The sequence below is a fragment of the Homo sapiens genome, chromosome 4 (assembly GCF_000001405.40).
Source record: "Homo sapiens chromosome 4, GRCh38.p14 Primary Assembly".
In the NCBI taxonomy this organism is placed as follows: domain Eukaryota; kingdom Metazoa; phylum Chordata; class Mammalia; order Primates; family Hominidae; genus Homo; species Homo sapiens.
The window spans coordinates 157,150,716-157,173,355 of record NC_000004.12 but is presented as its reverse complement, the minus strand read 5'-3'; the positions used below and the strand labels follow the sequence as shown (position 1 = coordinate 157,173,355).

The 22,640-nt window shown below is 36.3% G+C and overlaps 1 protein-coding gene across 5 annotated transcripts in view; it reads right to left on the bottom strand.

Annotated features, from left to right (window-relative positions):
• GLRB (glycine receptor beta) overlaps positions 1,266-22,640 on the bottom strand; it is a 95,941-nt gene continuing 74,566 nt past the window's right edge. For 3 of the 5 annotated variants that reach the window (NM_001440545.1, NM_000824.5, NM_001166060.2), the window contains 2 exons: positions 20,346-20,638; positions 1,266-2,924 (listed from right to left, as the gene is read on the bottom strand). In NM_001440545.1, the coding sequence (NP_001427474.1) occupies positions 2,628-2,924; positions 20,346-20,638 (590 nt within the window). In that variant the 3' untranslated portion in view covers positions 1,266-2,627. The remainder of the gene's footprint in view (positions 2,925-20,345; positions 20,639-22,640) is intronic. The other 2 variants (NM_001166061.2, XM_017008035.3) reach the window with 1 other exon arrangement.

Sequence of the window (22,640 nt, the reverse complement as noted above, 5' to 3'; positions counted from 1 at the left end):
ACATAAGGTAAAATCCCATTTGGGTAATATCTTATTATGTTACATTATCTTTTATATTTAAAAATTAGATAGATGTTGAAAATGCCTAGAATGAGTTCTGAATAGATACAAAACAATGATGACCTCTGGGGAAGAGACAGAATAGTTTGAAGGAAAAAGGCTATGGACAGCAACTTTAAATACTGACTCTAAATACATGTTTGTTTTGTAATATTCAACATATTCAGGTATTACCTATGCAACTAAAAAACAAAAATTACGAAGTTAGTTCAAAAATAGAGTTATATTAGCGTGAGACTGTAGACTGCTGAAAGAGTCTGATTACATAGAATGAGAAAACGAATTAGGAGGGTGTCAGTAGGAATGGAGAGGAGATGATAGGTATAAGAGGGAGAATTTATAGGACTTGATACTTAAAGGGACAGACTGTGTGAGAAAGGAAGATGAATTTAACATGGGCAACTGGATTAGCAATGGCTTTAACAGAAATAAAAAATGAGAGAACCTGATTTTTGAGATGATAATTTTTACTTTAAAGACACTGAATTTGAGGTATCCGCAGATGCTCCAGGTAGATATACTGTGAATCTCCTAGAAATATATAATACTGAAAGCACACAGATCAGAACTACTCTGGAGTTCTGTGACTAAATCTTTTAGAAGAATTATAAAACAACTGTCAGCAGACACTCATACTTCTTTGTTATGATCTTTTTCTAGTGTTCCATTTGTAGTTACACATACACACTTAATCCTGGGATAGCGATTCATATATACTTGGGTATTAAAATTGGTCTTAAGAGGCTGCAATATTATATTACAGAAAAGTAATTCATTTATGCTATTTTCCACAAATAAATTTCTATATAATGAGATACGTCTTCAATATGGTACATCTTCCACTTAAAACTCTATATCTAGATCAAATTCCCTAATATGAATGAAACTTGCCAAAATAAAGGAATCAGATTATAAGCAAATATAATTATTACAAGTAAACATTTTAAGTGATTTAAATCCTATTCATTTTTTTTTTCTTACCACAGTTCCATTAAAATGCTCTTGCCCTGGGTCTTAGAAGATATTAAGTCCATCAACAGGGTTAACTGTAGCACTGTAAAATTATCCGGATATCACCTTTACAACTAGAGGGTGCTGAAGGACTACAAAGGATTCGATTATATCCCATTAAAAATAATATAATCAGTGAGAATCTTTTAAAAATGCAAGGCTTCAATAAATTGAATAGCACTGAATTACATATGGCAATTTGCATAAACAATACTTTATTATTGAATTTGCCATACAAACTCGTAGCTGCAACAAAACTCTCCAGATAATGTAAATATACTTCTTTAGTCTTATGTTTATCTATGTGAATTACTGATAGTTTTATTTCAGATATGGCAGAAAGACAAAGGTGCACTGGATGTGATATTAAGAAATGGTGGTCTCATAAAATGAGACTTAGTGCTTACTTTTGGATTGGAACAAGTTCAAAGTAAGTAAATCTCAGTTGTCTAGACTTTTAACAAGAAAGAAAATACAAGTAGAAGTGAAGTCTAACACAAACAAAGCTATTATTTATTTAATCTCTAAATATTTTGTAACTAATCCCAAAATATTCAAATAAAAAAATAAATTCAGTAAACATTTTTAATTTTACTTAAAATATGCAAGCATTTTAATAAAATAAAAAAGTTAAAATCTTTTAATAGTTATGGATTTCTTTTTCAACTTATTACTTCCCCTTGGTTTCTTAAAAATGATGTAAAATCACATATCTATTACTGCATTCCAATTTAAAAGATGTATGACTCATTTTAAGGCACAATGTTTTGTGTAATATGTACCAACAAATGAAATCCATGAAAATACATTTAGGTTTTAAGGTGGATTAAATAGAATTTTGTTTATCCTAAATATTTCGTCAATAAGGTATCTTTTTTTATTTTGTCAGAATTCAGTATACAGTTACATAAATATAGGTTTCCCTTTGTTTAAAAATGCTCACTGTGTATTACTATCTGATATTTTTGACAACACAAGCACACTTTAAAACGAGCTGATTTTACAAATTAATATATTTTGAACTTTATTTCTCCACAGAGCCTGTATAATTATAACAGATATATTTCTACTTACAAAGTTTAAACAATATGTAATACAACCTTTTTAAATCTGTGATAATACCATCTAAAATTTTACAAGAATAAGATGGCTTTCTTTGAAAGTTACAAGGAAGGAAATTTGAAATACTACATACATTAGAATGGTGACCATAGCAGGATTCAGCGTGCATATCATTTTATTATCAGAATTATCTGTAGTATTTGCAGTTTACACTAACTGAAGAGAATTGTATGGATTATATTATGTAGTATGCTTGTCCTTCATTTGTTACTAAGCAATATGTTCACTATACATATATACATCGTTATTAGAGCACAGATATTACATGATCATGCTGCCATTCAAAATTAAGGTGCCACAGTTTTATTACAATCAAATGGCATCCAAAATGCAATGTTGCTATGAAAATTCAAAAGTTCTCACAGATTGGCATTTATGAAAGGAGTAGGTCACAATGAAATGGAATTTTATTTTGTACAAATGGAAAAGATTTATCATAAATATATAGACCAATATATAACATTGAAGAACAAGAAGCAGAAAGGAAACAATGCTCTTGCATAAAGATCAATTCGCTTTGCTGCTGTTGGAATAACAGGTTTCGCAGGGGGAGGCTTCTTGTTGTTCTTAGCCTGAGATTTCCCAAGTCCGTTGTTAACTTCAATGGGTTTTCCATAGCAGTCATAATTGGATAGTTCAAAATCTCTTGGTAAGCTTCCAACAATGCTGAAGTCATTAGATCTCAGATCAGACTTAGAAGTACAAACTTTTTTGCATCTGGTCTCACCAACCTAAGAATAAATATTGAAGACAATGTATTTAAAACTTTTCTACTTACGAAACACATCTCTTCAAACGATATTTTTAAAATTGCTAGTTTCTACAAGAAGCATTTGCTTATGTCACAAAGAACTAACAGAGAGAATGGTTATCTGATTAAACCATCAGATTGCCTGAGCATTTAGGGCTCTAAAATATTGCCTACATAATAAGGCTTATGTCATGGAATGAACTTTTGATTGGTTATTTCATGCTAAGGAATCAAAGCTCAGATTAATTTTAGGTGCTACCAGGCTTGTGAAAGTTCTCAGTTGTAGGACTAATAAATAAACATCCATTTTTGCTCCAATATTTAACCATGACAGAGACAATATTCTACAATGTATGGATTATAAAAATGTTCTGATATTACTAGCCTTTGACTTCCTTATAGATCCTATTTCCAAGTAGAGCGGTTTATAAATGCTAAGTAATTTATCTCTCCAATGAGACAGACTTTCTCTAAGCCACATTCACAAACAAGGACTAAAAAATGGTCACAATTGTCATGAATCAAACGTTTACTAGTGATAGGCATTCCCAACTTGTTGGCTGAACTTAACCAATCACGCTCAGACAATACAAAGGAATTATGTATCCTTCAGATAGACCATATGCTACAGAGATTATTATTCAGTCACTAATTTCTGAATTATTAAATTTGAATAAATTCCCTATAATATATAAAATAATTACAGTTACAACATGGGTTTGAACTGCAAGGGTCCACTTATACATGGGCTTTTTTTCAATAAATACAGTTGCCCCTTGTATCTATAGGTTCTGAATTTACATCCAAATGCAGATCAAAAATACAGTGTTCACAAAATCCATGGATATAGAGGGTCAACTTTTTGTATCCACAGGTTCCACAGGGCAGACTGCAGGGACTTGAGTATGCATAGATTTTGATATCTGCAGGGGATACTGGAACCAATTCCCCACAGATACAAAAGGACAATTATATTTTATGCTGAACTCTCTCTAGTAATCAAAATGCTCTTAGATTAGAGGAGTAGGCTAATACCAATGATTGAGAATAGCACTTACATATTACAAAAGTCCACAAAAAGGTTAGCTCTTGGCTAGATTGCTTCATTTTCTCACTGTTCTTACCATTGAGTTTTGCTATTCACCTTCAGAATCTTCACTATTGACATTTACTCAATTTTTATTGAACATGGAAACCATTTAATTGTATATTATTAGTATATCACAGTTACTCTAGTAACTGCTTTATTAATATAATTAATACATTGACTAATTCTATAGATTCTATTTACATTTACTAAATTATAGCTGGGTTAAAAACACTATACCTCACACAATAAATAAAACAAATCTTTCCTCAACAGTACTTTAGGTACCAGGAGACTATCCTTTACCTGAATACACATATATTTATATATATATTTCCTAGACAAGAGCCAGATAGCAGTGTTCAAAGGTGGATAGCAAAAATGCCCAAGATAAAGTGACTGACAAAGCAAGTTAAATGTATTTATACATCCTTCTGTGATTATACATTTAAATTATTACCATTTCTTCTCTAATTATGAGCATATATTGATGTTATATTTCTTAAGCTAGCATACAAATGTTGGCTTTGTTATTATATACTTTATGCCATATATATATTTGTAAAATGCCAGTGGGTAAGAAACTTTTAAAAAGATATTTATGTAAATATGTTTGCAGAAAAATACCCAAAAAATGTTGATGAGGAATAGGGATTGAGGAACTAGAAGTTCACCTTTCTATACATTTGATATTTGAAAAAAAAGATGTAAATCACCAACATGTTGACTTATTTAGCAATTGTTCATTATAAAATAGCCCAAATGGAAACATAGTCCCATCCTTGTTCAATAGGACTTTGAGGTAGTATTTAATAGCATGATTTTTTTTTCTAGACAGTTTCATTATCATACTACCTCATTTTTGTTACCAGTAATTTTCAGAAGTGACAGAAGTTTATATGATGAAAGTAAATGAGACACATATTCATAAGGAACAATTGAGAAATTATTAATTGTAGGTTAATATAGCCAAATTCGCTTCTAAGAATGTGTGTCAAGAAGTAGGCCAATGTGAAAAAAGTGGCTTCTTGTCTGCACCCCCTCACTCCACTTTTTTAATGTGCAGTTACAATTTACCAATTGTGAGAGCTCAACTGAGTGTGAAAGAGCAGTGCCTACATCTGCATGGCATCAAGAAGTACGGACAGGCTTTAGTCCCTATCAATTTATACTCTGTATCTAGCAAAATGTCTGACAAAAAAAAAAAAATAGGAACTGGTTGATGTGGTTTGGATATTTGTCTCCTCCAAATTTCATGTTGAAATGTGACTCCCGGTGTTGGAGGTGGGGCCTAGTGGGAGGTGTTTGGGTCACGGGGCCAGATCCCTCATGACTGGCTTGGTGTCCTCCCTGGGGTAATGAATGAGTTGTCCCTCTGTTAGTTCAAGTGAAAATTGACTGTTAAAAAGAGCCTAGCACCTGCCCTCCCTCTCACTCCCACTCTTGCCATCTGACATGCCAGCTTTCCTGCACCTTCCACCATAACTGTAACCTTCCTGAGGCCCTCATTGGAAGCAGATTCTGATGCCATGCTTCTAGTACAGCTTGCAAAACCATAAGCCAAATAAACCCATTTTCTTATAAATTATACAGCCTCACGTATTTCCTTTATAGCAGCACAAAACGGACTATACACAAGTCGAAAGAGTGAGAGAGAGAAAAAGTAGCAACTAAAATCTAAACTCTTTAAATATGACTTCAGGAAATGCACACACACACAGAAACATATACAAATATACATCTAATTTTTGCCCCATTTATCTAAGTTGAATTTTTAAAAGACTACTTTCATCAATTTGTCCACCACCTCACCTCCAACAGTACTTGCACAGGCATGCATGCATGTGCACACACACACAGACTTGCACACTCACATCTGCCCTATTATTGTTACAGACAGAACATCAGAGAGAAGACCACATTTAATCTTCAGTTTTCCAGTGCAGTTTGAGGAATGTGTGAGTCTCCACATGTATCAGTGAACTTTTGTAAAGAGTAACTCACTATCTTGATTGGAATAGAAGTGGAGAACAGACTGTACATATCAAATCTTTGCATTGCCCTAAGACTTTCAGAGAAATCTTTAAAATCAAGGATTCTATGTGTATCATAGTTGCTCTTTCTCCCTTTAGAATTCCCCATTATAAAGGCTTTAGATGTACTCATTATGCTTTTGAAGCTACTTATCATAACAAAGGAGTACTCTAGATTCTGCCTATAGACTTAATGGCTTAAAACCAAGTATATTTAGAATATACTGTAGAAATGCATTTGCTATAAATCATATTTTTATATCATTTTAGGTGTGGTTTTAGTATCTGTAAATAACTAAACAAATGGCCAAATTTATATAATATTATAACCTAGGCCACAAATAAATATTTCCAATTTTCTAATCTATTTTATTTATATAACCATATAAATTCTGCCAGCAATTTAAATAATATTAGGATTTGATCCAGTTTATTCAAACTATAGATATAGAATATTATGTTTATTCACAGAGATTACTTATAGTAAACATGTCAGTAAGAGAATAATTTTTTCAGTGTTGAAGCCATAACATTACAAAGCATTCCAAAAAAGCTGCAAATTGGTTATATTAAGTTTCTAGCCATTTAAGTCTTTAAAACGTCTCTCGGAGATATATTTGAAGATTCTTGTATTCAAGAATAAGTAGAGGTGCACATGTGGGGTGGACGGAACCTCTATTACAGAAGTAATTTTTAATGATAATGACATACTGAATAAAGAATAAGATTAGTTTCCCTAATGAGAAGTACTCAGGGCTTCTTAAATAGGTCATGGTTCATTAAGTAGTTGGCTAGTCTCCTTGCCCCATTCATCACAGATTTTACACAAAGAAAATTTTCTGTTACACCTTATTATCATATCAAATATATACATGAAAGTACAAAAGAGTTTACACTATAAATACTATTTTAAACAGTTATAACATCACATGAAAAGAGATGAAATAAACTGCTTATAAACAAGACATTAACCCTACTTAACACACATTCTTAAAAGCGAATTTGGCTATATTAACCTACAATTAATAATTTCTCAGTTGTTCCTTATTACAAATATGTGTCTCATTTACTTTCATCATATAAACTTCTGTCACTTCTGAAAATTATTGGCAACAAAAATGAGGTAGTGTGATAATGAAACTGTCAAGAATAAAAAAACGATGCTATTAATAACTTTCTAATGCCTCCAACTTTAGCCTCTAAGATTTTCTTTGTGGTTCTTTTAAGTTTCATTCCACACAAATTTAAAAGCAAATAACTTTATGCAGTATTTCTTGACCAGAATAATTAGGCACGATTTCATGTCAATAATGGCATCCTCTACAGACAATAAAATATGTTCAGAGGGAATAATTTGTATATATTTTGCTAAATTTAAGTCCATTAAATCATTACCATTAAAAGATCTCCTTTACATATAAACAGCAGCTTTTATTTTCTAATTTATATAAAATTGTAGGCATAGGTACTATTTTCTTTGTCTTTTATTCATAAAACCTTTGTGTATGGCACATACTAGTGTTAGAAATAGGGTGACATTAACAACAGTAGGTTCTTAACTGCTTTGTTGAATAAAAATAGGAATACATGAATGAACAAACAAAAGTAACCAAGATATTGGAATGACTGAAAAAGCACCACTTTTACTGGGAAAAAAAATCCTCCAGACAATTATATAGGCATGGTAACATGTTTTTGTATACAGGCCACAAATTATAAAAACCTCATAGTAAAAGCTATACATTATCATTTAATTTTTTTCTACTTTTTAAATCATTCATTTCCTTAGGAAGCACAATATTATTTTATACATCAGCTTCAAACATTTCCTACAATCCAAATTATATTACACTTCTGTTAATTATTATTGTTATTCTATTGAATAACAATATTGAAATTATTTGGCAAAAGTTTGCATTTAGAAAGGCAAAGTACATTAGAAAAAATGCATTTTGAAACCAAAAGTTTAATTACATTTTTCATTGCAAAACCATTGAATTAAAAAGATAATAATTTATAAATTTCTACTTTTATATCTTCTTTCATATGTCAATATGTAAAATCTTATGACTCATCAAGTTACACATTTGATGTAAGTTATTATTAGACTCATGTTATCATTTTGAAGCCTGTCTCAGGAAACAAATATTCTATGGGTACAAAGTTTATTCTGGAAAGTGCATTTTTGTCCTGTAAAGAATAAAAGTAATTTACATTTATTTCTAAAGATTAAAATTTCTGGTCAATTCTTAACTCTATGCATCTCTCGTTGTCTTTTGAAGCAAAATGTCACAGCAGTTTCAGAATTCAAACAAGTGTGTTTCTATGAGCAGTTAAAAACATAGAGAATTAAAATATAAAAGTTCTTATATGTGTTTAACTTTTATTTATTGGGTAATTATTTTAATTATTAGTTTTAATTTTAATGCTTTAAAGATAAACTTAAAATAACATAATTGGGTTTACTACTTCATGGATCCTCTCATCCTTGCTATCCATGTTCATAAATAATCTGAATGTATTCTACAATGCTCTAGAAAGCTGGTTCTAGATAGCCTCCTTCTATCAGTACCCCTACTTGATGGAATAGATTAAGGTATCAGGATCATTGCACATTAGTATTCTGTTACTACATTTAATTTAATGTAGTAACAGAATTTAATTTAATTGCTTATTAGTATTGTTACTACATTTAATTCCTGTGCTTATTGAGGACCTATAATATACCAGCCAATGGAGCTGATCGTAGGGATTACCAGGAATCAAGCACCTGTTCTATAGAGCATCCTTGCTTTCTGTATCCAAATCTCTTAACCAGAGGTCAAGTTAGAGGGGATTGGTGGGCTGGAAATGTGAGGAAGTGGTAAAAGATAGGGAGATGTAAATCGAGGAGTAGATAACAAGTGTCAAAAAATCAGGTAGAGAACACTTCCACATAACATAAGGCTCTCAGGTAATCTTCCTTCCATTTCTGGCCTGGAGAAATAACTGTATGCTTTAGAAGGGGAAGCACAGTTTCTCACAAACAGTATGCTTTCAATACCAGTTCTTCGTCATGCCAAAGCATGCCCTTAAGCAATCCCTTAGTTCTTCTGGATATTATGTGGCTTCTTAGACTTGGGTGGTAACAGAGACAAAAAAAAAAAATACTGGTAAAGGGAATAATAATTACTCCAAATGTTTGTTTTCCTGGTGTAGGATTTTAGTAAGTCTGAAATGACCCAGTAGACAGAACAGCAACAACAATGAAAGTGTTAAGAGTAGCCCATTGATAAATCTATTTAATTATTAGAGTGTGGTAGGCAGGGTGCAGGTATGATGAGGATGCTGAGGGCCTCGAAAAGCATAGAGGACTTCTACATCCAGGAAGATAGAGTAGACATACCTTTCCTATTCCTCCTGCTAAGTTCAATAAAAAATCCTGGACATTATATTAAAACACACACACACACACACACACACTCACACAGACAGACTATAAAAGGGAGAGAAGAGGAAGCAGATGAGCCTGGGGACTCAGGATCCCAGGAACCATAAAATGGTGAGTTCCTGCATTCCCCCTTTTGTCTCATATAATCCCAGATTTGGAGCTAAAGAAGCCAGCAAGTGGAAATGCCAATGGGTACAGACATAAAAACCCCAACAGCCTCCGATGTTTAGCCAGAAGACAAAGAAAGGGGCAGCCCAGCAATACAGAACACTTTTAGATATTAACCTCTCTATTCTTGCCAAATACTACAGAAAAAAATGTGCTCCCACCCCACCCCAACGGACATGCCAGCAATGTCCAAGAGGTGAGGGGGCCAAGGCTTGGACTTTAAAAAGGCTGTGATGATCATAGGTTCCAAGATGGCCAAATAGGAACAGCTCCAGTCTACCCCTCCCAGAGTGAGTGATGCAGAAGATGGGTGATTTCTGCATTTCCAACTGAGGTACCGGGTTCATCTCACTGGGGCTTGTCTGACTGTCGGTGCAGCCCATGGAGCAGGGTGGGGCACTGCCTCACAGGGAAGTGCAAGGGGTTGGGGAATTCCCTTTCCTAGCAAAGGGAAGCTGTGACAGATGGTACCTGGAAAATCGGGACACTCCCACCATAATACTGTGCTTTTCCAACGGTCTTAGCAAATGGCACACCAGGAAATTATATCCCATGCGTGGCTCGGAGGGTCCCATGCCCACGGAGCCTCGCTCACTGCTAGCACAGCAGTCTGAGATCGAACTGCGAGGTGGAAGCGAGGCTGGGGGAGGGGTGTCCGCCATTGCTGAAGCTTGAGTAGGTAAACAAAGTGGCTGAGAAGCTCAAACTGGGTGGAGCCCACCACAGCACAAGGAGGCCTGCCTGCCTCTCTAGACTCCACCTCTGGGGGCAGGCCTAGTTGAACAAAAGGCAGCACAAACTTCTGCAGACTTAAAATGTCCCTGTCTGACAGCTTTGAAGAGAGTAGTGGTTCTCCCAGCACAGAGTTTGAGATCTGAGAATGGACAGACTGCCTTCTCAAGTGGGTCCCTGACTCCTGAGTAGCCTAACTGGGAGACATCTCACAGTAGGGGCCAACTGACACCTCATACAGCCGGGTGCCCCACTGAGACGAACCCTCCAGAGGAAGGATCAGGCAGCAACATTTGCTGTTCTGCAATATTTGCTGCTCTGCAGCCTCCGCTGGTGATACCCAGGCAAACAGGGGCTGGAGTGGACCTCCGGCAAACTCCAACAGACCTGCAGCTGAGGGTCCTGACTGTTGGAAAACTAACAAACAGAAAGGACATACACACCAAAACCGCACCTGTATGTCACCATCATCAAAGAACAAAGGTAGATAAAACCACAAAGATAGGGAGAAACCAGAGTAGAAAAGCTGAAAATTCTAAAAATCAGAGCTCCTCTTCTCCTCCAAAGAAATGCAGCTCCTCGCCAGCAACGGAACAAAGCTGGATGGAGAATGACTTTGACGAGTTGAGAGAAGAAGGCTTCAGATGATTGGTGGTAATAAACTTCTCTGAGCTAAAGGAGGATGTTCAAACCCATTGCAAAGAAACTAAAAACCTTGAAAAAAGACGAGATGAATGGTTAACTGAAATAAACAGTGTAGAGAAATCCTTAAATGACCTGATGGAGCTGAAAACCATGGCACGAGAACTACGTGATGCATTCACAAGCTTCAGTCGCCGATTTGATCAACTGGAAGAAAGGGTATCAGTGATTGAAGATCAAATGAATGAAATGAAGCGAGAAGAGAAGTTTAGATAAAAAAGAGTAAAAACAAATGAACAAAGCCTCCAAGAAATATGGGACTATGTGAAAAGACCAAATCTACGTCTGACTGGTGTACCTGAAAGTAACGGGGAGAATGGAAACAAGTTGGAAAACACTCTGCAGGATATTATCCAGGAGAACTTCCCCAACCTAGCAGGGCAGGCCAACATTCAAATTCAGGAAATACAGAGAATGCCACAAAGATACTCCACGAGAAGAGCAACTCCAAGACACATAATTGTCAGATTCACTAAAGTTGAAATGAAGGAAAAAATGTTAAGGGCAGCCAGAGAGAAAGGTCAGATTACCCACAAAGGGAAGCCCATCAGACTAACAGCGGATCTCTTGGCAGAAACTCTACAAGCTAGAAGAGAGTGGGGGCCAATAGTCAACATTCTTAAAGAGAAGAATTTTCAACTCAGAATTTCATATCCAGCCAAACTAAGCTTCATAAGTGAAGGAGAAATAAAATCCTTTACAGACAAGCAAATGCTGAGAGATTTTGTCACCACCAGGCCTGCCCTAAAAGAGCTCCTGAAGGAAGCACTAAACATGGAAAGGAACAACCTGTACCAGCCACTGCAAAAACATGCTGAATTGTAAAGACCATCAATGCCAGGAAGAAACTGCATCAGCTAATGAGCAAAACAACCAGCTAACTTCATAATGACAGGATCAAATTCACACATAACAATATTAACCTTAAATGTAAATGGGCTAAATGCTCCAATTAAAAGACACAGACTGGTAAATTGGATAAAGAGTCAAGACCCATCAGTGTGCTGTATTCAGGAGACCCATCTCATGTGCAGAGACACACATAGGCTCAAAATAAAGGGAAGGAGGAAGATCCACCAAGCAAATGGAAAACCAAAAAAGCAGAAGTTGCAATCATAGTCTCTGATAAAACAGACTTAAACCAACAAAGATCAAAAGAGACAAAGAAGGCCATTACATAATGGTAAAGGGATCAATTCAACAAGAAGAGCTAACTATCCTGAATATATAGGCACCCGATACAGGAGCACCCAGATTCATAAAGCAAGTCTTTAGAGACCTACAAAGAGACTTAGACTCCCACATAATAAGAATGGGAGACTTTAACACCCCACTGTCAACATTAGACAGATCAACGACACAGAAAGATAACAAAGATATCCAGGAATTGAACTCAGCTCTGCACCAAGTGGGCCTAATAGACAGCTACAGAACTCCCCACCCCAAATCAACAGAGTATACATTCTTCTCAGCACCACATCACACTTATTCCAAAATTGACCACATAGTTGGAAGTAAAGCACTCCTCAGCAAATGTAAAAGAACAGAAATTATAACAAACTGTCTCTCAGACCACAGTGCAATCAAACTAGAACTCAGGATTAAGAAACTCACTCAAAACCGCTCAACTACATGGAAACTGAACAACCTGCTCCTGAGTGACTACTGGATACATAACGAAATGAAGGCAGAAATAAAGATGTTCTTTGAAACCAACGAGAACAAAGACACAACATACCAGAATCTCTGGGACACATTTAAAGCAGTGTGTAGAGGGAAATTTATAGCACTAAATGCCCACAAGATAAAGCAGGAAGACCTAAAATTGACACCCTAACATCACAGTTAAAAGAACTAGAGAAGCAAGAGCAAAAACATTCAAAAGCTAGCAGAAGGCAAGACATAACTAAGATCACAGCAGAACTGAAGGAGACAGAGGCACAAAAAGCCCTTCAAAAATCAATGAATCTAGGAGCTGGTTTTTTGAAAAGATGAAAAAAATCGATAGACCACTAGCAAGACTAATAAAGAAGAAAAGAGAGAAGAATCAAGCAGATGCGATAAAAAGTGATAAAGGGTATATCACCACCGATCCCGCAGAAATACAAACTACCATCAGAGAATACTATAAACACCTCTACACAAATAAACTAGAAAATCTAGAAGAAATGGATAAATTCCTCGACACACACACCCTCCCAAGGCTAAACCAGAAAGAAGTTGAATCCCTGAATAGATCAATAGCAGATTCTGAAATTGAGGCAATAATTAATAGCCTACCAACCAAAAAAAGTCCAGGACCAGATGGATTCACAGCCAAATTCTACCAGAGGTACAAAGAGGAGTTGGTACCATTCCTTCTGAAACTATTCCAATCAACAGAAAAAGAGGGAATCCTCCCTAATTCATTTAATGAGGCCAACATCATCCTGATACCAAAGCCTGGCAGAGCCACAACAAAAAAAGAGAATTTTAGATGAATATCCCGGATGAACATCAATGCCAAAATCCTCAATAAAATACTGGCAAACCGAATCCAGCAGCACATCAAAAAGGTTATCCACCATGATCACATTGGCCTCATCCCTGGGATGCAAGGCTGGTTCAACATATGCAAATCAATAAATGTAACCCATCCTATAAACAGAACCAAAGACAAAAACCAGATGATTATCTCAATAGATGCAGAAAAGGCCTTCCACAAAATTCAACAGCCCTTCATGCTAAAAACTCTCAATAAATTAGGTATTGATGGGACATATCTCAAAATAATAAGAGCTATTTATGACAAACCCACAGCCCAATATCATACTCAATGGGCAAAAACTGGAAGCATTCCCTTTGAAAACTGGCACAAGACAGGGATGCCCTCTCTTAGCATTCCTATTCAACATAGTGTTGGAAGTTCTGGCCAAGGCAATCAAGCAGGAGAAAGAAATAAAAGGTATTCAATTAGGAAAAGAGGAAGTCAAGTTGTCCCTGTTTGCAGATGACATGATTGTATATTTAGAAAACCCCATTGTCTCAACCCAAAATCTCCTTAAGCTGATAAGCAACTTCAGCAAAGTCTCAGGATACAAAATCTACGTGCAAAAATCACAAGCATTCCTATACACCAATAACAGAAAAACAGAGAGCCAAATCATGAGCGAACTCCCATTCATGATTGCTTCAAAGAGAATAAAATACCTAGGAATCCAACTTACAAGGGATGTGGAGGACCTCTTCAAGGAGAACTACGAACTACTGCTCAACGAAATAAAAGAGGACACAAACAAATGGAAGAACATTCCATGCTCATGGATAGGAAGAATCAATATCGTGAAAATGGCTATACTGCCCAAAGTAATTTATAGATTCAATGCCATCCCATCAAGCTAACAATGACTTTCTTCATAGAATTGGAAAAAACTACTTTAAAGTTCATATGGAACCTAAAAAGAGCCCGCATTGCCAAGACAATCCTAAGCAAAAAGAACAAAGCTGGAGGCATCACGCTACCTGACTTTAAACTCTACTACAAGGCTACAGTAACCAAAACAGCATGGTACTGGTACCAAAACAGAGATATAGACCAACAGAACAGAATAGAGCCCTTGGAAATAATACCACACATCTACAACCATCTGATCTTTGACAAACCTGACAAAAACAAGAAATAAGGAAATGAATCTCTATTTAATAAATGGTGCTGGGAAAACTGGCTAGCCACATGTGGAAAGCTGAAACTGGATCCCTTCCTTACACCTTATACAAAAATTAATTCAAGATGGATTAAAGACTTAAATGTTAGACCTAAAATCATAAAAACTCTAGAAGAAAACCTAGGCAATACCATTCAGGACATAGGCACGAGCAAGGACTTCATGACTAAAACGCCAAAAGCAATGGCAACAAAAGCCAAAATTGACAAATGGGATCTAATTAAACTAAAGAGCTTCTGCACAGCAAAAGAAACCACCATCAGAGTGAACAGGCAACCTACAGAATGGGAGAAAATTTTTACAATCTACCCATCTGACAAAGGGCTAATATCCGGGATCTACAAAGAACTTAAACAAATTTACAAGAAAAAAAAACCCATCAAAAAGTGGGCAAAGGATATGAACAGACACTTCTTAAAAGAAGACATTTATGCAGCCAACAGACACATGAAAAAATGCTCATCATAACTGATCATCAGAGAAATGCAAATCAAAACCAAAATGAGATACCATTTCACACCAGTTAGAATGGTGATCATTAAAGTCAGGAAACAACAGGTGCTGGAGAGGATGTGGAGAAATAGGAATGCTTTTACACTGTTGGTGGGACTGTAACTATTTCAACCATTGTAGAAGACAGTGTGGCAATTCCTCAAGGATCTAGAACTAGAAATGCCATTTGACCCAGCCATCTCATTACTGGGCATATATCTAAAGGATTATAAATCATGTTGCTATAAAGACACATGCACACATATGTTTATTGCGGCACTATTCACATTAGCAAAGACTTGGAACCAACCCATATGTCCATCAATGATAGACTGGATTAAGAAAATGTGGCACACATACACCATGGAATACTATGCAGCCATAAAAAGGATGAGTTCATGTCCTATGTAGGGACACGGATGAAGCTGGAAACAATCATTCTGAGCAAACTATCGCAAAGACAGAACACCAAACACAGCATGTTCTCACTCATAGGTGGGAATTGAACAATGAGATCACTTGGACACAGGGTAGGGAATGTCACACACCAGGGCCTGTCGTGGGGTGGGGGGAGCGGGGAGGGATAGCATTAGGAGATCTACCTAATGTAAATGATGAGTTAAGGGGTGCAGCACACCAACATGGCACATGTATACATATGTAACAAACCTGCACATTGTGCACATGTACCCTAGAATTTAAAGTGTAATAATTAAAAGTCTGTGACGAGGCAGCCCGATCCACACTGAAGTATAGTGTCAAGTGGTGATTGAGGACTTCCATCACTGTAGACCAGTAACAAGGCCCTGATCCCTGCCATAGTGTCTGTGGAAACTATGTAGGGAGTATGGACTTAAACCTACACCCAGCAGTAACAAGAGGCTCCTCCTCTTCCACGCTGAGGTGATGTCACAGGGGGCCCTGGAGGGTCAGGACTTTCACCAACACCAATTGGTCAGGAAGGCAACCCCTGCTGCTGTGTTGGTAGAGACAACATGGGGAACTGGTGACCCCCAATCTCGCCCAGCAGTATCAAGGAGCTCTACCCTGACGAAGTGGGAAACCTGGACTTGTACCTCCGCTTGGAAGTAATGAAGCAGCACTCATCCTTCCCCTGACAGAACAGAGCCAGAGAAAGCAAGTTAAAACAGAAGGCTTAAACACGATTTGGAGTCTCATAATATAATATCAAAATGTCCAAGTTTCAATACAAAATCACTCATCATACAAAAAACTGGGAAAGATCTCAAACTGTATAACAAAAGATTTCAAACTGTGCAACAACAATCTGAGAATTCTGAGAAATCTGAGAAAGATATTACAACATTCATGATAAAAATTATTCAGTGACCAATTATGAACATGATTGGAACAAATGAAAAAAATACACACATACCAAATGGAAACTGTAAAACTCATAGATTAGATCAACAGGAAAATGTAAAGGGCAGAGGAAAAAAATCAGTGTACTGGCAGATAACAGAAGACATTGTCCAAGAAGTCCCAGCCAGGGCAACCAGGTAAGAGAAAGAAATAAAGGGCGTCTGAATTAGAAAAGAGGAAGTCAGATTATTGCTGTTCAACAATGATGTGACTGTGTACCTAGAAAGCCCTAGAGACTCCTCCAAAAGACTCCTAGATTTGATAAACGAATTCAGTAAAGTCTACAAAATCAATGTACAAAAGTTACAAAATCAATGTACACAAATCAGTAGTACTGCTATACACCAACAATGACCAAGTTGAGAATCAAATTAAGAACTCAATTTCTCTTACAAAGCAGCAAAAAAATTAGAATAACCTTAAACAAACAAATGGAAACACATCCCATACTCATGGATTGGAATAATCAATATCATGAAAATGACCATACTGCCCAAAGCAATCTATAGATTCAATGTAATTTCTATCAAAACACCAACATCATTTTTCACAGAATTAGAGAAAACAATCCTAAAACTCATACGGAACTAAAAAAGAGCCTGAATAGCCAAAGCAATCATAAGCAAAATTAATAAATGTCCAAGTTTCACATTTTATACAAGGGACTTGAGCATTAGCAGACCTTGGTATCTGATAAGAGTCCTAAAACCAGTCTCCTACAGTACCCAGGGACAATTCTATCACAAATCTAGCATTTGTGTTATCGCAGTCTTGAAAAGAGAAGAGAGAGGGCAAGGCAGGAAAAGTACACAAAGAAATAATAGCTGAAAACTCCAAATTTGGCAAGAAACATACATCTATATTTTCAACAAGCTGAGAAAAATCCCAAACAAGATCAACTCAAAGAAATCCACACAGAGACATGTCATAATTAAACTTCTGATCACTACTCGACCAAAAGACCAAACAACTTTTTGAAAGCATCCAGAGATAAGTGACACTTTACCTACAGAGGAAAAGCAATTAGAACAATTAGTTTTCATCAGAAGCCATGGAGGCCAGAAGGAAGTGAACACAATACTTTTTAGGCGCTAAAAGAAATGCATATAGAATTGTAACCTTACAATCCTACATCTAGAGAAAATATCCTTCAACAATGAAGGAGAAATCAAGACATTCTCAGATAAAGGGAAAGTGAAAAAAATGTGTCACCTGCAGACCTATCCAAAAATGGGTAAAGGAAATTCCCGAAAAGGCATGGTGGTTCATGCCTGTATTCCCAGCACTTTTGGGAGGCTGAAGCAGGTGGATCACTTGAGGCCAGGAATTTGAGACCAGTCTGGCCAACATGAGGAAACCCTGTCTCTACTAAAAATATAAAACTTAGCCAAGTGTGGTGTGGCACACACCTGTGGTCCTAACTAATTGGGAGGCTTAGGTGGGAGGATTGCTTGAATCCAGGAGGTGGAGGTTGCATGAGCTGAGATCACACCACTGCACCCCAGCCTGGGTGACAGAGTGAGACTCTGCCTCAAAAACAAAAAACAAGGAAATTCTCTAAACAGAAAATAATAAAAGAGATATAACCTTGGAATATATGAAGATGAAAGAAAAACATAGCAAAAATATACAATAACATTTTCTTCTCCTTGAGTTTTCTAAATTATATTTGATGGTGATGCAAAAACTATAATGTGGCTCTAAATGTATGCAGAAGTATTTAAGACAATTATAAACATCAGCTTAAGGGATGAAAGAGAGGTAACATTTTTAAACATCACAAAAGCTAGCAAAATAATGACACTAGTAGATCGTGATGTTATGCATGCATAACTTATCCAGACCAACCACTAAAGAAGTTAAACAAAGAGATACACTTAAAAACAACATAGAAAGCTCAAAATGAAATTCTAAAAAAATGTTCAAGTAACCCACATTAAAAAAGGAAAAAGAGGGCCAAGTGCAGTGGCTCATGCCTGTAATCCCAGCACTTTGGGAGGCCAATGTGGGCGGATCACCTGAGGTCAGGAGTTCAAGACCAACCTGACCAACATGAAGAAACCCCATCTCTACTGAAAATACAAAATTAGCCAGACATGGTGGCAGGTGCCTGTAATCCCAGTTACTCGGGAGGCTGAGGCAGGAGAATCGTTTGAACCTGAGAGGCAGATGTTGCGGTGAGCCGAGATCACGCCATTGCACTCCAGCCTGGGCAACAAGAGTGAAACTCCATCTCAAAAAAAAAAAAAAAAAAAAAGGAAAAAGAAGATAGAGAAACAAAAACCAAAATAAACAAAACAAAGAAAAATAAAACATAGAGAAAACCTTACTATATCAATAATTACGTTAAATGGAAGTGATCTAAATATACCAATTCAAACATAAGAGAATGGCAGAGCAGTTTAAATACCAAACACCAACTATATGTTGTCTACAAGAAACTCACTTCAAATATAATGATATAGAAATAATGGATGTAGAAGTATGAAAAAGATATATTAAGGACATCTTTAAGGCCAAGATAGTGCTGGATTAATGCAAATTTTATCCTTATTCTTCATGAAAGGCAGAAAAGAGTTCTAAGGCCTCAAGAAGCCTCCCTGAAGGTTTCAGCTAAGTATTTGCAGAGGGTCTTGGCTTTAGGCTCAGAAAATGAGTATAAATGACTTAAACCATTTTTTAAAGGCCACAGGCAGCACCATACAAGCATGGTTCCTTTGCTTCTGCATCTAAGAACCGCATGCGGTATACTAGTCTAGCATTCTAGGTGAGGGGACTAGTGGTGATTAACAAACTGATAGAGCAATTGTGGGACCAGAGGAAAAGCACGGAAGGTAAGATTTTCAAGGTTGTAGGATGGAATGGACCTATTGGTCTTCTGTGGAATTTACTGCTCTTAGCTCAATGGAAATGGTCTTCTGGTTGACTGGTCCACCCATCCAGAAGGCATCAATGAGGGGCACATTGGGGTAAATGGACAGCTAACCTCAATCCTTTACACAGCCTGGCACGTTGAAATTTACCATTGCCCACTATTCTTAAACCCATAATTAATTGACAAGGCAGGGTTATGGGGTAAAATCTTAAATATTCCTTCTCCTGCCACTCACTGCTGGGAGGGACAGATTCCTAACTGCAGGCATCGTTTCCCTGAGCCAGACATCCAATAAACAAGTAGCCTGCCTGACATGCTCCATGTGAAGCTCTCTAATGTAATGGGGAATGGTGGGTGATTTAATCATGAGCATGGGCTTCTCCAAGCCTTTTTATGTAAGGCAGATGATCAGTGATGCCCCACAGTCCTCGGGCCTTTCATTAAGATACATTGAATGAGAAACAATAGGAAGGTCTGTGCTCCATCCAGCAAGGTCTCCAAATTCAATGGTGACCATCAAAGCAGAGTTGAATCCTTAAACTCAGTGCAAAGTCCTCAAAAAATTTAATAAGGCATTACTTTTTTCCTTAAGTGGTATTCGACCTAAACGTTCTGAATGTTTTCTAAAAAGCACGTTTCCCAAAAATTGTGTTGTGCTCAGTTTGTTTTCATCTGTGAGAGAAAAACAAGCAAATGCCAATTCCATCAAAACTTGTCACATACACAAAGGTGTCTCTCTCTTGACACTATGAAGTGGTTGGGGGAAATGATTTCATGGCATAATTTTATCCTTACCTGCAAAGTGCTAATATGAACAGGAGTCCCTGTTCCATTCACAGTATTCTTTTTAGCCACATTTCCACCTTTTCCATCTGCTTGCTCAGCCTTAGCAATTCTGGCTTTTTCAGCTTCAACCCTTTTGGGGTTGTTCAGCATCACCTGGACAACTGCATACTCCACCAGGGAAGCAAACCCAAAGAGAAGGCAAGCAATAAGCCAAACATCAAGAGCCTTCACATAGGAAACTTTGGGAAGCTCAGCGGCAAGGGTTGTGCACTCAGAGGCCAAGCTGAGGACTGAGAAGATACCTACAGAAACAGAAAGAGGAATGAAAGTTGCTTTTTATCCCTATGAGATGTTCTGGGGTCATTACTCTTTGACTAAATCCGTCTCCAGTAACTTCCAATGACCCATGAACAATTTGTCAGGTCCCCTTAAAGCTCAAAGACTAGAATAAATAATAGGTACATGCCTTTTCTGTAAGGACTATTGACTATGGTTGAGGATTTTGTAAATACTTAGGATTTTAAAAAATAAATAGAAATTTAAACCAGGGTATAAAAATATAATTTGGACCTGTTTTCAATATTAAAGATGGCTAAAACTATTGTATAGTATCTCTGAGGAAGCCACAGAGCTCTCTTATGAGACAGATTATGTATGTTATTTTTCAGCTTTGTTTGAGAAAGATTTCAGTTATAGAGCTGAGTTTTGTCCCCATGAGCAACTAAATCAGAGCAAGAACAGAACATATAAAGCAATGTTTTGATAAGGTTCATAATAAAAAAAACTAATAGAAAAGACACAGCAGGAAATATTCCTGTTTAGGGAGAACATATGATTCCAGATTTCCAAAGAAAGGTATGAAGGTCTGCTCCATGTAATGGTAACCCTTCAATGAAAGCTAACACATTATACACTAATTTAAGTCAAGTAATTGTCAGACTCCAAAGAAGAATTGCAATAATTTATTGCTCTCTTTCTCTTCCCAATTGCCACTCTCCCTGCCATTCCTCTCTCTTTTTCCTTTCCTTCGTATTTTCAAGAGAGAAGATGATGAAATATATTTTATAGCTATAACCTATTGGCATGGGCTACCAGGAACATGCTGAGTCAGAAAAGGAACCTCATTCAGTGTCAAGGGAGACTCACTTTACTTGAAATAGAAAACAGATCTGACTTGGCTCTGTGAGTCCATCTCACATACTGGGTTGAGTATAATTTTTTCTTCTTAGATTTGGCCACTTATGAGAATTAATGTATATATATCACCATAATAATTAAATGTCTACTTGGCTCTCTTTTCCCTTCCCATGAAATTACAAACACTATATTAGTATTAATAATCAGTTAAACATTGAAAAATATATCAATTGCATCATTTCAGAAGCTTCTGAAAAGTGTTTTTTGCATTCAAGAACCTAAGATACTCTCTATTAGAAGGAAACACGTTAAGCAAATATAACTTCTGCAGATGAAAACAATATTCAATATATAACAACTTGATAAGCTCCTAGTTTACTTTTACAATAATTATCCTCGGCCCTAAGGAAAACTAAAAACTAATTAAGAGAATTGTATTTTAAAAGTTAATGTAGGTCTTACATTAACTGTCTCTCAGACCACAGTGCAATCAAACTGTGGTCAAAAGTGGAAAGTAACATAAAAATCCAAGACCTTATCAATTACTGCCCTAAACTACAGTTGATTATAGCCATGGGAATTAACTTGGCAAACTGTCATTCTAAGTTAATTTTTCTATTCTTTGCCAAATTTTGTGAGTCAAATTACCAATCAAAAACAAGCCTAACTTATTTCCTTGAGATAAACTATTTTGACACTATCCTCTCTGTTTCCATAGTATTTCATGCTGATTAATAACCTAGAAGATATTAAATTTTAGTAAGCTTAGCTGTATACCTGAATATTTATCCTGATAGATTAGAAACTTTATGATGAAATAGAGAATAATTTCAGATTATAGAAGGCCTTCAGAGTTCTGTAGTGGCTTTTTATACCATGTTTGGTAGAGAATATTCAGAAATTTGGAATTAAGGAAAGAGAAATTACATTATCAAAAGAATACTTAAGTAGCATTACTTTGGTGTGGATATACAAAATAGACTGAGAAAGAAAATTAGTAGTTGGGGAAACAAAGTATAAGGAAATGAAGGCCTACGTTATGATAGGACAGATGTGAAAAAAAGCAGAGAAAACATTTGAAAACAGTTACTGATTCAAGGAAGAAGGAAAAAATTGAGACAAAGTTATGAACAGGATGACTGGAAGAATTTCCGTAAAAAAGATGGG